Raw genomic sequence first — 15,296 nt, forward strand, 5'->3', positions numbered from 1 at the left:
TACATACAGTTAACAAAGTTAATAGAGAAGACATTAGGTTGAGAGAGCTCTACCACTTTGATTTTCTGTGTAAACAAACTGAAGTCCGAGGTAACCAGTAAAACAAAACTAGACTTAACCAATCAGAAACCTCCAGCTAACCTCTAACTAGGGACTTTCCATCAGATAATGCCCAAATAAGCCAAATGCTGAGCTGTTGCCAATCAGTAATTTCTTCACTTTGCTTCTATAATCACCTTATGAAAGTCCACTGCCAAAACTGATGAGGCAGAGCTCTCTGAATCTCTTCTGGTCCTAAAGCTGCCCAGTTCATGAATGGATCCTTGCTCAAATAAACTCTGCTAACTTTAATCTGTCTGAAGTTTTTTTTTAGACAGTAACTTACAACAAAATATTTCTTCATATTTCAAAAAGCACAGTAAATCATGAGGCAGGTATTAAAGAATTCATCAACCCTTTTGAAGGCCATTATTATTATTACATTAAAAAATAATTAATATTTAAAATGATATGGTTTAAAGACGTTAAACCCTTGGTGGAGTAAAGAATTGTCCTAAAAATAATACTGGAGATTGGTTGTATAACACTGTGAATGTACTTAACACTAGTGAATTATACACTTTAAAATATCTAAAATGGTAAATTTTATGTTATAGGCTTTACTATAATTTTTTAAAATTTTAAAAATTAAAGATATCTTAGATCATAGAGCAAGAACATTAATGATTCAGGGAGAAGCACTTAGTTATAATAAATCTGATATAAATTTAAATTGCAAAATCTAAATACCTATCCTAAAGTGATGATTTTGTATTTGTAAATACCTTAAAATTAGGCATGTGGGGAATTGTGAACGTAATAACATAGTTGCCTAGGAGATCAAATTTTGTAAAATGAAACAGAGCCTGAATCCAAAAGTGATTAACTTCCAGAAGCTTGATAAATAAACATCCACAAGATTTTAAACCTTAAAAAATTTTGATTTTGCTATTATCTCTGAGACTGCAATGCTTGAAATTATATGCGTGCATATTTTGTATTATGCTATCTAACTATCTTCTTATCCCCTCTTTGCTAACCTGTAACATCCACATCTCCCCTGCTTCTCTTATGGGGGACCCAGGTAAGTAGCTACAGCTGTTTACTTCTCTTTCCCTTGGCATCAATTGTTGGGTTTCAGCTTAAGTTGTTTAAGGAAACGTCATCACTCAAAACTGCCTTTGGCAAAATGCCTCAGATGCTAGCCTGTGAAGAAAAAATTATATGCTGAACTTTAGAGAAAATCATTATATTACGTGTGGTGAGAAAATATGAAAATTCTCACATATAGAGACCCTCTAGGAAACTGAGGTCTTGATTCTACCTACATGTAAGGGCATGAAGAAGTAAAACAGGAGTGAGATAGACTGTCCCATTGTGAGGAAGGGTATTTAACAGATTTAGGTAGAAAACAGCCAAGCATCAACCGTGCCCCTCTCTCCTCCAAGAAGCTCTTTCCCTAATAGCCTAAGTAATACTAATAGATGGACCTGCATTGAGTGAGAGCAGAGGCCTGAGCACCTAACACCTCCACTATCATGTAGATTGTTAAGGGGCAGACACTTCCACTTTTTGTTGGTTCTCCTGTGATAGAAACATTTAATTTATCAGTACTTACACTCTTCCATTAAGACTCCCCTGCTTCCAGCGTTACAAGGAATAGAAGGCCATGAGTATATCAGTTATGCTTGAGTGAGGTCACTGATGTGAACGCAGGTAGGAGAAGCAAAATACAGCCTGGCAGCTTTGCTGCAAAGGCTGCCAATTTGAATGCCTAAGGAGGGGCTTAGTGGGAACTGTGAACTGCTTTGAACCAGAGTAAAAAGTGCCTTATGAGAAGAAAGTCTAGGGTTACCAGATCTTCTGGTTTGTCAAGAAATGCTGAGATATCTGGATTTTAACATGAAATATCCTGACTTTCAAAGGTTGGAAAGCAATTCAAATTTTTCAACACTATGTGAAGGCAAAACTCCAGATGCCCGAGGGCTATATTCAGACTGCAGGTTATCAAATCGTGACCTCAGCTTTCCATACCAAAGACTGAGCAGCTGGAGGGGGACTGGAAGGGAGAGATAAGAAAAACTGAGCTTTAGATAGCTGTTAAATGGAGTGGAATTTGGAGAGAAGGAGATTCTTAAGGGAAAATCTTAGGGTTGTTTTCTGTGTAATGGGTGGTGTAAATCCATTTGTAAACCAAAACACCTTCAGTGCTTTTAAAATTGGATTTGTATTTTTTTGGATATGACAACATGCTAATACAGGCTTTAGAGTAAGAGGGAAAAGACTTAGCTATACATGTTTACATTTACAAATGATAAATATTGAACTGCCAAATTTTTATGAAAAGATCCTATTGGATTTCATGTCACAGTTTACGATAAAACCACAACTCTCAGAGACTTAGTAAGGCCATCAGAGCTGTTCAAATAGAGTATAAAGGTGTAATGCCTCACCAGGTTATTACTATTTCTAGCTAGCAGATGAACCCAACCCAGAGCATAAGTATGAAAAGATGGACTGTAATACTTTCAAGATATCTATTTTGTAATCTCCAGACATACACACACATGTGCACACACACACATCTGACTCTATAATAAATGCTATGGACTGAATCATGCCTTCTCATATTCACATGTTGAAGCCCTAGTCCTCAATGTGATGGGGTTTAGATGAGGTCATCAGTGTGCAGCCTTCATGAATGTGTTCAGTGCCCTTATAAGAAGAGACACAAGAGAGTTCTCCCTGCCTCCCCGGTCCCCCTGACTCTGCCATGTGAGGATACAGCAAGAAAGCAGTCATCTACAAGCCAGAAAGAGGGCCTTCATCAGGCCCAACCGTGCTCTTACCCAAATTTCAGACTTCCCATAATTCCAGAACTGTGAGAAATAAATGTCTGCTGTTTAAGCCACTCAGTCTATGAAATTTTGTTACAGCAGCCATAGCCGACTAAGACAAATGGATACTCCAAAATTGCAACATATCATTGGGAAGGTATTTATAAATACCTAATTCTTCCAGTGAGTCTTCAAACTACCTCCATATGTGGGCAAAAATCTCCATTATCCAACCAACCTACTGAGGTACTAAGTGGCTAAGTTGGCTGGACTTCCTGGGTCAGTAGGGACTTCACCAAGGGGACTTTCCTCTAAGCCAAAATGAGTCATAGCTGCAAGCTAAGGGATTGAAACTTCAACCAATCATATAGGGAGTTTAAGCTATAGCTGCAGCCTGATGGTTTTAACCAATCAGGCCCTCCAACCCACAAGCAGATAGAAAATAAGCTAATCTTATAGGACAGAAAAAGGAAAAGGGGAGGAGTCATAAGGGGATATAAGCATAAGACACCCAAGCCAGAAACAGCAACCCTTCTGGGTCCCCTTCCACTGCATGGAAGCTTTACTTTCACTTTTGCTTTAATAAATCTTGCTGCAGCACTCTTTGGGTCCGCGCGTTTCTCTAATCGAGCTCTAACACCTGCTGCTGCGGTCCATGGCTTCATTCCTTGAAGCCCATGAGACCACAAACCCTTCCATAGAGAAAAATCTTTGATCAGAAGAAGACTTCTCATCTCATTTCTAAAATAAATTTTAAAATCAGTCCTTAAGTAGGGTGTAATTATAGAATACCCGACTATTAACTGAATGTTTGGGTCCCCCTAAAATTCATATGTTGAAATCTAACTCCCAAGGTGATGGTATTAGCAGGTAGGGCTTTTGGGAGGTAACTAGGTCATGAGGGTGGGACTCTAATGAATGGGATTAATGCCCTTAAGAGAAGAGGCCAGAGAGCTAGCTCTCTGTACTCTCTCCCATGTGAGAATACAAAGAAAAGATAACCATCTGCAAATCAGGAAGAGGGTCCTCACTAAACATGAGATCTGCTAGCACTCTGATCTTGGATTTCCTAGCCTCCAAAGTATGAGAAATAAATGTTTGTTGTTTAAGCCACACAATCTATGGTATTCTGTTATAGCAGCTCAAGCTAACCAAAGCGGACTCCCTTCACATTTTATATTCTTAGTTATTTTACTTATTTAAGTATGGTTTTTAAATTTAGTTCTAGAGGCATCTATAACATTATAAATATTACTTGTACAATCTACACTCCCTGTTACATTAAATGAGAGAGTTAAGTTTGTTTAAAGAAAATAGGCTTGAAGTCAGCAAGACCAGATTCTATTGTGACTCTGCCACTTACTAGTTATGTGATATGGGGCACCTTATTTAAGCAATCTGAGAAAAGAATTCCAGCTCTGTAAAATAAGGATATTACTGCAACTGCCTTTGCAAAAATTTTAACAGTGAGAAAATTATGGCAATAAAAGGGATCTGATCTAACTAACCCCATCTTGCCTTTAACCTCCAAGCTGTCCTTAATCATTCCTGGGCTAAGGCCAAGCTAACATTGAGAGACATTTAGTTTATAGTTTAAACGATAACAGCCCTTCTCCCAAACTAAAACACCTTTGTAAAGCTAATGAAAGACCACCAGGTTAGGAGGATAAGAAGGCTAAATTCTGCCAAGGTGTAGACATAAATGATTACCAGCAATTATTCTGGAGGTCACAAGGTTTGCAACTTCTCCAATTACTCCTGCAGATAACATACGTATTGTAGAACCTAAGACTGGTCTCTTGAAATGTTTTTTCAGGTTTTTGCATTTCTGACAATCAGTGGCTCCACCTGGACCCACCAACTGGTCCTGTGGCCCCATATAGAAGCAGACTCCCTGGCTCAACAAACTATCCTGAAAAAAACCCTAGCCTCCAAATTTTCAGAGAGATTGATGTGAGTGTTTGATTTGAGGGACTGATTAAACTCTTTATTGCAATGCTATGGTCTCAGTGAATTGATTTTGTCTGTGCAGTGGGCAGGAAGAACCCATTAGGCAGTTACACTACTAACTAGCTACAGGATTGTTAAAAATATTAAGATTTGTAAATGTATCTAACCCATAGAAAACCATAATATTTATTTTGCCATTTCTCCTAAAAGTGAAGCTATTGCTTAAATCTAACCGAAAGAATTATCCTTGGGTAGTTGTGAGGAGCTAAGTTTTCCCTAGGGGCAATTGCTAACTCAGGAAGAGGTAGCTAAAAGTATAAGAAGCTGATCAGAACTTCCAACAGGCCAAAGGGACAAAACTAAAAATTAAAAAAAAAAAAATTGGACTCCAGGGTCCTCCAAAGTTGAGGCCTCTTCAAAACTGCAAGCTATAGGTCAGAACACTGAAGGACCATACACTAACAGAGACGTTGAACAGGAAGCAGGTGATTTATGTACTGAAGCCTAACTTTGAATTAACTCAATGCACAAAACTAAATTAAGAAAATCTTAGCTTTCGATTGCCCCAAATTACCAGAAAAAAAAAAAAAAACTGTTACAGGAAAGGGGTCCTGATCCAGACCCCAGGAGAGGGTTCTTGGATCTCACACAAGAAAGAATTTACAGTGAGTCCACAGTGCAAAGTGAAAGCAAGTTTATTAAGGAAGTAAAGGAATAAAAGAATGGCTACTCCATAGACCCAAAGAGCAGAGCTGAAGGCTGCTGGTTGCCCACTTTTATGGTTATTTCTTGATGATATGCTAAACAAGGGGTGGATTATTCATGCCTCCCCGTTTTAGACCATATAAGGTAACTTCTGACATTGCCGTGGCATTTGTAAACTGTCATGGTGTTGGTGGGAGTGTAGCAGTGAGGACAACCAGAGGTCACTCTCGTCACCATTTTGGTTTTGGTGGGTTTTGGCCCGCCCCTTTACTGCAACCTGTTTTATCAGCAAGGTCTTTATGACCTGTATTTTGTGCTGACCTGCTAACTCATCCTGTGACTTAGAATGTCTTAACCATCTGGGAATGCAGCCCAGTAGGTTTCAACCTTATTTTACCCAGCTCCTATTTAAGATGGAGTTGCTCTGGTTCACACACCTCTGACAAAACCACATATCCTCTCTAGAGAAAGATACCATAATGCTAAGCTGGAAAATATTTTTTAATTTTTTCACATAAAATAACTAGCAGTCAGCCGGGCACGGTGGCTCATGCCTGTAATCCCAGCACTTTGGGAGGCCGAGGCGGGTGGATCACAAGGTCAGGAGATCAAGACCATCCTGGCTAACACGGTGAAACCCTGTCTCTACTAAAAATACAAAAAATTAGCCAGGCGAAGTGGCGGGCGCCTGTAGTCACAGCTACTCGGGAGACTGAGGCAGGAGAATGGCATGAACCTGGGAGGCGGAGCTTACAATGAGCCAAGATCGTGCCACTGCACTCCAGCCTGGGCAACAGAGCGAGACTCCGTCTCAAAAATAAATAAATAAATAAATAAAAAATAACTAGCAGTCAATAAAAAATGATCATGAATATGAAGAATCAAAACAATATGAAAGAAGAAAAAAAACAGACATTAGTAGGTTTGAGAGGCAAAGTTAAGTCACTTAGAAACAGTTTGATCCTTTCTAGTTTTGCTTTTAAGCAGGACTGCTTCACAGGTATATGACCTGGTCAGTCACACAGGACCAAAGGTTAGAGAGGCTGTAGGCTTGATTTGGTACTCTACTCTTGCCAACGTGGAAGTCTTAATTTTGAATAAGGGGTCTGGCATTTCCATTTGGCATTGGGTCCCTCAAATTATGTGGCTGGTCCTACTTTTAAGATTCATTAGATGAGACCAGAGCAATGTTTAATCTAGGGCTGAGTATACTACTGAAGCAAGACTTTGCAAAGTACTCCACCCAATGCCCTGTGAAAAATCAGATTTCCCAGTTGGACTGGAGGGATCAGGTGCTGTTCCCAGCCCTGTGTGAGGGCATGGTATTTTCTCTAATATTCTCAGTTAGTTTTTCCATCTACCTCAGATAGTATCTTCACATGCACATGCTGATGTGTTCTCCTGAATACCCACAGAGACTCTGAAGATTCATAAAATTCTCCCTATGTAGCTGTCCCTCTCTGGTTTTGTTTCTTGAAAACCAAGGGAGTCCATCTGGGATCTCCGTTCCCGCACCATGGCCTGCAAACTCACTTAGTAATCAATTGTTTGGCCACCTCATTTATTTCTCATCTCATAGGTATCACTGCCCTTCATTGTCTAACATCTTGTGTTTTGAAAACAGTTGTTACATATCTTGTCCAGTTTTGTTGTTGTTACTATCCCAGATGGAATAATTTATCCCATCCTGTTACTCCATATTGGTTGGAAATAGTAGTCCAAAAGCATTTTATGTAACAGCTTACAAAAGTCTAAACATCCCCAATATTGATGAACGGTAATATAGATACACAAATTGTGGTATGATCCTACGGAAAAAAATGCCATTAAAGAAATAAAAATAAATAAAGTGCAACCACATTCAGCAACAAGGATGAATTTCATAAGTAATGTTGAGCAAAAGAAATAGAACACAAAATAATGTAATAATGCATGCTGTATGACTCCAACACAGGCAAAACTAAACTGCTGTTAGAATTCAGGATAATGGTTATCTTTCAAAAGAAGAGAGGGAGAGAGGGTCATAATCTGAGGGAACATAAAGGAGGCTTCTGTGCCCTGGCCATGTTTTTTTTCTTGACCTGAGTGGTGGTTATGCAAGTGATCTCTTTATGATAATTACTGAATGTTCTTTGTACTTTTCAGAATTCTAACAAGTGCATTTGGAAAGCATTTGTGTCAAGTATATAACATATTTGCTGAGAGTATTCTAAAATTCCTGAGACACAAGCTATACGTGCTTACTAAAATAGAGTGGTTTTTGACATTGATATACATTGCCATGATGTATGTATGTTATATGTCAAGAAGCTTCTCTGCTAAAACAAGCCAAATTTCACTAAATTGTTTCCTTGTCTATGGAGACTTTTAAGTGTATTTGTTTGCAATCATTTCCATTAAAATATTTAGTACATGACTAACATCTTAAATTTTGGGTTATTGATAGGTTGCTTGACGTACCCTTTGAAGTTCACGGGCACTGCAAAGAATGCATTTTTGTAGCTGATCCAGCTCAAATGCCCAGATTCATCCACATCTGCAGCTTATGTCACAGGGCTGGCAGCTAACAGAAACCATCAGATCTGCCTTTGTTTTCTTATCAAATCATATGTGATAATGTCACAACCAGTAAGTTGTGTTTTCAGGTATGTGTTTGTACTGACTTGACAGTGAACCTAAAAAGTGAAATAAATATGAAGAACGAGAAATTCTAAATTCTCACCCTTCAGGGGTGTTGGTATTATCAATTTGCCTGTGTTGTCTTTAAACACACACACACACATACACACACACACACACACACACACACACACATCTTCTTTAGCTCTGGTGTATAGAAAAGCAGGACAAATCCTACATTGACAAATTAATGACAGTAGTAAGCTAAGTCATTTTATTTTATTTTATTTTATTTTTCTTTATTTATTATTATTATACTTTAAGTTTTAGGGTACATGTGCACAATGTGCAGGTTAGTTACATATGTATACATGTGCCATGCTGGTGCGCTGCACCCACTAACTCGTCATCTAGCATTAGGTACATCTCCCAGTGCTATCCCTCCGCCCTCCCCCCACCGCACAACAGTCCCCAGAGTGTGATGTTCCCCTTCTTGTGTCCATGTGTTCTCATTGTTCAATTCCCACCTATGAGTGAGAATATGTGGTGTTTGGTTTTTAGTTCTTGTGATAGTTTACTGAGAATGATGATTTCCAATTTCATCCATGTCCCTACAAAGGACATGAACTCATCATTTTTTATGGCTGCATAGTATTCCATGGTGTATATGTGCCACATTTTCTTAATCCAGTCTATCATTGTTGGACATTTGGGTTGGTTCCAAGTCTTTGCTATTGTGAACAATGCCGCAATAAACATACGTGTGCATGTGTCTTTATAGCAGCATGATTTATAGTCCTTTGGGTATATACCCAGTAATGGGATGGCTGGGTCAAATGGTATTTCTAGTTCTAGATCCCTGAGGAATTGCCACACTGACTTCCACAATGGTTGAACTAGTTTACAGTCCAATCAACAGTGCAAAAGTGTTCCTATTTCTCCACATCCTCTCCAGCACCTGTTGTTTCCTGACTTTTTAATGATCGCCATTCTAACTGGTGTGAGATGGTATCTCATTGTGGTTTTGATTTGTATTTCTCTGATGGCCAGTGATGGTGAGCATTTTTTCATGTGTCTTTTGGCTGCTTAAATGTCTTCTTTTGAGAAGTGTCTGTTCATGTCCTTCGCCCACTTTTTGATGGGGTTGTTTGTTTTTTTCTTGTAAATTTGTTTGAGTTCATTGTCGATTCTGGATATTAGCCCTTTGTCAGATGAGTATGTTGCAAAAATTTTCTCCCATTTTGTAGGTTGCCTGTTCACTCTGATGGTAGTTTCTTTTGCTGTGCAGAAGCTCTTTAGTTTAATTAATTTGTCAATTTTGGCTTTTGTTGCCATTGCTTTTGGTGTTTTAGACATGAAGTCCTTGCCCATGCCTATGTCCTGAATGGTAATGCCTAGGTTTTCTTCTAGGGTTTTTATGGTTTTAGGTCTAACGTTTAAGTCTTTAATCCATCTTGAATTGATTTTTGTATAAGGTTTAAGGAAGGGATCCAGTTTCAGCTTTCTACATATGGCTAGCCAGTTTTCCCAGCACCATTTATTAAATAGGGAATCCTTTCCCCATTGCTTGTTTTTCTCAGGTTTGTCAAAGATCAGATAGTTGTAGATATGTGGCGTTATTTCTGAGGGCTCTGTTCTGTTCCATTGATCTATATCTCTGTATATCTTCTTTCATATTGGTACCAGTACCATGCTGTTTTGGTTACTGTAGCCTTGTAGTATAGTTTGAAGTCAGGTAGTGTGATGCCTCCAGCTTTGTTCTTTTGGCTTACGATTGACTTGGCGATGTGGGCTCTTTTTTGGTTCCATATGAACTTTAAAGTAGTTTTTTCCAATTCTGTGAAGAAAGTCATTGGTAGCTTGATGGGGATGGCATTGAATCTCTAAATTACCTTGGGCAGTATGGCCATTTTCACGATATTGATTCTTCCTACCCATGAGCATGGAATGTTCTTCCATTTGTTTGTATCCTCTTTTATTTCCTTGAGCAGTGGTTTGTAGTTCTCCTTGAAGAGGTCCTTCGCATCCCTTGTAAGTTGGATTCCTAGGTATTTTATTCTCTTTGAAGCAATTGTGAATGGGAGTTCACTCATGATTTGGCTCTCTGTTTGTGTGTTGTTGGTGTATAAGAATGCTTGTGATTTTTGTACATTGATTCTGTATCCTGAGACTTTGCTGAAGTTGCTTATGAGCTTAAGGAGATTTTGGGCTGAGACAATGGGGTTTTCTAGATATACAATCATGTTGTCTGCAAACAGGGACAATTTGACTTCCTCTTTTCCTAATTGAATACCCTTTATTTCCTTCTCCTGCCTAATTGCCCTGGCCAGAACTTCCAACACTATGTTGAATAGGAGTGGTGAGAGAGGGCATCCCTGTCTTGTGCCAGTTTTCAAAGGGAATGCTTCCAGTTTTTGCCCATTCAGTATGATATTGGCTGTGGGTTTGTCATAGATAGCTCTTATTATTTTGAAATACATCCCATCAATACCTAATTTATTGAGAGTTTTTAGCATGAAGGTTGTTGAATTTTGTCAAAGGCCTTTTCTGCATCTATTGAGATAATCATGTAGTTTTTGTCTTTGGTTCTGTTTATATGCTGGATTACATTTATTGATTTGCATGTATTGAACCAGCCTTGCATCCCAGGGATGAAGCCCACTTGATCATGGTGGATAAGCTTTTTGATGTGCTGCTGGATTCGGTTTGCCAGTATTTTATTGAGGATTTTTGCATCAATGTTCATCAAGGAAATTGGTCTAAAATTCTCTTCTTTGGTTGTGTCTCTGCCCGGCTTTGGTATCAGGATGACGCTGGCCTCATAAAATGAGTTAGGGAGGATTCCCTCTTTTTCTATTGATTGGAATAGTTTCAGAAGGAATGGTACCAGTTCCTCCTTGTACCTCTGGTAGAATTTGGCTGTGAATCCATCTGGTCCTGGACTCTGTTTGGTTGGTAAGCTATTGATTATTGCCACAATTTCAGAGCCTGTTATTGGTCTATTCAGAGATTCAACTTCTTCCTGGTTTAGTTTTGGGAGAGTGTATATGTCGAGGAATTTATCCATTTCTTCTAGATTTTCTAGTTTATTTGCGTAGAGGTGTTTGTAGTATTCTCTGATGGTAGTTTGTATTTCTGTGGGATCGGTGGTGATATCCCCTTTATCATTTTTTATTGTGTCTATTTGATTCTTCTCTCTTTTTTCTTTATTAGTCTTGCTAGCAGTTTATCAATTTTGTTGATCCTTTCAAAAAACTAGCTCCTGGATTCATTAATTTTTTGAAGGGTTTTTTGTGTCTCTATTTCCTTCAGTTCTGCTCTGATTTTAGTTATTTCTTGCCTTCTGCTAGCTTTTGAATGTGTTTGCTCTTGCTTTTCTAGTTCTTTTACTTGTGATGTTAGGGTGTCAATTTTGGATCTTTCCTGCTTTCTCTTGTGGGCATTTAGTGCTATAAATTTCCCTCTACACACTGCTTTGAATGCGTCCCAGAGATTCTGGTATGTTGTGTCTTTGTTCTCGTTGGTTTCAAAGAACATCTTTATTTCTGCCTTCATTTCGTTATGTACCCAGTAGTCATTCAGGAGCAGGTTGTTCAGTTTCCATGTAGTTGAGCGGTTTTGAGTGAGATTCTTAATCCTGAGTTCTAGTTTGATTGCACTGTGGTCTGAGAGATAGTTTGTTATAATTTCTGTTCTTTTACATTTGCTGAGGAGAGCTTACTTCCAACTATGTGGTCAATTTTGGAATAGGTGTGGTGTGGTGCTGAAAAAAATGTATATTCTGTTGATTTGGGGTGGAGAGTTCTGTAGATGTCTATTAGGTCCACTTGGTGCAGAGCTGAGTTCAATTCCTGGGTATCCTTGCTGACTTTCTGTCTCGTTGATCTGTCTAATGTTGACAGTGGGGTGTTAAAGTCTCCCTTTTTAATGTGTGGGAGTCTAAGTCTCTTTGTAGGTCACTCAGGACTTGCTTTATGAATCTGGGTGCTCCTGTATTGGGTGCATATATATTTAGGATAGTTAGCTCTTCTTGTTGAATTGATCCCTTTACCATTATGTAATGGCCTTCTTTGTCTCTTTTGATCTTTGTTGGTTTAAAGTCTGTTTTATCAGAGACTAGGATTGCAACCCCTGCCTTTTTTTGTTTTCCATTTGCTTGGTAGATCTTCCTCCATCCTTTTATTTTGAGCCTATGTGTGTCTCTGCATGTGAGATGGGTTTCCTGAATACAGCACACTGATGGGTCTTGACTCTTTATCCAATTTGCCAGTCTGTGTCTTTTAATTGGAGCATTAATCCATTTACATTTAAAGTTAATATTGTTATGTGTGAATTTGATCCTGTCATTATGATGTTAGCTGATGATTTTGCTCGTTAGTTGATGCAGTTTCTTCCTAGTCTCGATGGTCTTTACATTTTGGCATGATTTTGCAGCGGCTGGTACCGGTTGTTCCTTTCCATGTTTAGCGCTTCCTTCAGGAGCTCTTTTAGGGCAGGCCTGGTGGTGACAAAATCTCTCAGCATTTGCTTGTCTGTAAAGTATTTTATTTCTCCTTCACTTATGAAGCTTAGTTTGGCTGGATATGAAATTCTGGGTTGAAAATTCTTTTCTTTAAGAATGTTGAATATTGGCCCACACTCTCTTCTGGCTTGTAGAGTTTCTGCCGAGAGATCTGCTGTTAGTCTGATGGGCTTCCCTTTGAGGGTAACCCGACCTTTCTCTCTGGCTGCCCTTAACATTTTTTCCTTCATTTCAACTTTGGTGAATCTGACAATTATGTGTCTTGGAGTTGCTCTTCTCGAGGACTATCTTTGTGGTGTTCTCTGTATTTCCTGAATCTGAATGTTGGCCTGCCTTGCTAGATTGGGGAAGTTCTCCTGGATAATATCCTGCAGAGTGTTTTCCAACTTGGTTCCATTCTCCCCGTCACTTTCAGGTACACCAATCAGACGTAGATTTGGTCTTTTCACATAGTCCCCTATCTCTTGGAGGCTTTGCTCATTTCTTTTTATTCTTTTTTCTCTAAACTTCCCTTCTCGCTTCATTTCATTCACTTCATCTTCCATCGCTAATACCCTTTCTTCCAGTTGATTGCATCGGCTCCTGAGGCTTCTGCATTCTTCACGTAGTTCTCGAGCCTTGGTTTTCAGCTCCATCAGCTCCTTTAAGCACTTCTCTGTATTGGTTATTCTAGTTATACATTCTTCTAAATTTTTTTCCAAGTTTTCAACTTCTTTGCCTTTGGTTTGAATGTCCTCCCGTAGCTCAGAGTAATTTGATCATCTGAAGCCTTCTTCTCTCAGCTCGTCAAAGTCATTCTCCGTCCAGCTTTGTTCCACTGCTGGTGAGGAACTGCGTTCCTTTGGAGGAGGAGTGGTGCTCTGCTTTTTAGAGTTTCCAGTTTTTCTGCTCTGTTTTCCCCCCATCTTTGTGGTTTTATCTACTTTTGGTCTTTGATGATGGTGATGTACAGATGGGTTTTTGGTGTGGATGTCCTTTCTGTTTGTTAGTTTTCCTTCTAACAGACAGGACCCTCAGCTGCAGGTCTGTTGGAGTACCCGGCCGTGTGAAGTGTCAGTCTGCCCCTGCTGGGGGATGCCTCCCAGTTAGGCTGCTCGGGGGTCAGGGGTCAGGGAGCCACTTGAGGAGGCAGTCTGCCCGTTCTCAGATCTCCAGCTGCATGCTGGGAGAACCACTGCTCTCTTCAAAGCTGTCAGACAGGGACATTTAAGTCTGCAGAGGTTCCTGCTGTCTTTTTGTTTGTCTGTGCCCTGCCCCCAGAGGTGGAGCCTACAGAGGCAGGCAGGCCTCCTTGAGCTGTAGTGGGCTCCACCCAGTTAGAGCTTCCTGGCTGCTTTGTTTACCTAAGCAAGCCTGGGCAATGGCGGGCACCCCTCCCCCAGCCTTGCTGCCACCTTGCAGTTTGCTCTCAGACTGCTGTGCTAGCAATCAGCGAGACTCCATGGGCATAGGATCCTCCCAGCCATGTGCAGGATATAATCTCCTGGTGCGCTGTTTTTTAAGCCCGTCGGAAAAGTGCAGTATTTGGGTGGGAGTGACCCGATTTTCCAGGTGCTGTCTGTCACCCCTTTCTTTGACTAGGAAAGGAAACTCCCTGACCCCTTGTGCTTCCCGAGTGAGGCAATGCCTTGCCCTGCTTAGGCTCGTGCATGTTGTGCGCACCCACTGTCCTGCACCCACTGTCTGGCACTCCCTAGTGAGATGAACCCAGTACCTCAGATGGAAATGCAGAAATCACCCATCTTCTGCGTCGCTCACGCTGGGAGCTGTAGACCGGAGCTGTTCCTATTCGGCCATCCTGGCCCCTCCCTCCCGCTAAGTCATTTTAAACTGGATAGCTGAGATATTTGGATTTGCATTTTGATGGAGGTTTTCAGAAAGATAATGTGTAATCCACTGTGTTATCCGCTAGATAGAGAAGTAGTTTGTGGTGGAAGAAAAGGGAGGGTATTTGAAGGCAGGAGCTCAGAATTGGGCTTTTCACCCCACCACTTAATAGCTGTGCTACCTCCACTAGTCACCAAATTAATTTAATTTAATTATCATTTTTCCCATCTGTGACATGAGAACTGCTTCACTGGGTAGTTATGGATATAAGATGAGGAAAATGTGTTTTATGCCCAAAAATGTGTGAGACTACCAACTAAATGTTTAAACTGAGACTCAGAAAAGGAAGTGACCCATTCAAGGTCACAACTAATTAAATACCTTGCATATAATGTTACCTTTTGTGGAAGAAACTTACTTCAGTCCTCCCATTCCAATGCCATGTTGCTCTTGCCAGTGCTGTGAGGACCTCAGCTACTAAGGCCATTAAGGTATTCTGAGCGGCAGGAATGCTGCAGTTGTTCTGACTAAAAAGCAAAAGTCATTGAGCATGATTCGAATTTAAATTAAATAATAGAGTTGTGTCAATGCAGGTGAACATGATAATTTTTCATTAATAGTTGTCGTAGCCTTTAATCAAAATTGACTCAACATGAGAGTAATCTTCTCAGCTGGACTTTATCAAATAATTTGCTTATATTCAGCTGATTTAACTCCTCAGCAATAAAGGGTAACTAACATCGGTTTTAAAAATAGACGGTATAATATTTTATCAGCTTCTGAATCCCCATTAGGGT

At 39.9% G+C, this 15,296-nt stretch overlaps 1 long non-coding RNA gene across 1 annotated transcript in view; it reads right to left on the reverse strand.

The window, feature by feature from the left end:
- LOC105374037 (uncharacterized) overlaps positions 1-15,296 on the reverse strand; it is a 112,561-nt gene that overhangs the window by 68,835 nt on the left and 28,430 nt on the right. Inside the window, exon 3 of the long non-coding RNA XR_924328.3 lies at positions 14,918-15,026. This is a non-coding gene — a long non-coding RNA (uncharacterized LOC105374037). The remainder of the gene's footprint in view (positions 1-14,917; positions 15,027-15,296) is intronic.

The sequence above is a fragment of the Homo sapiens genome, chromosome 3, assembly GCF_000001405.40.
Source record: "Homo sapiens chromosome 3, GRCh38.p14 Primary Assembly".
Lineage (NCBI taxonomy): Eukaryota > Metazoa > Chordata > Mammalia > Primates > Hominidae > Homo > Homo sapiens.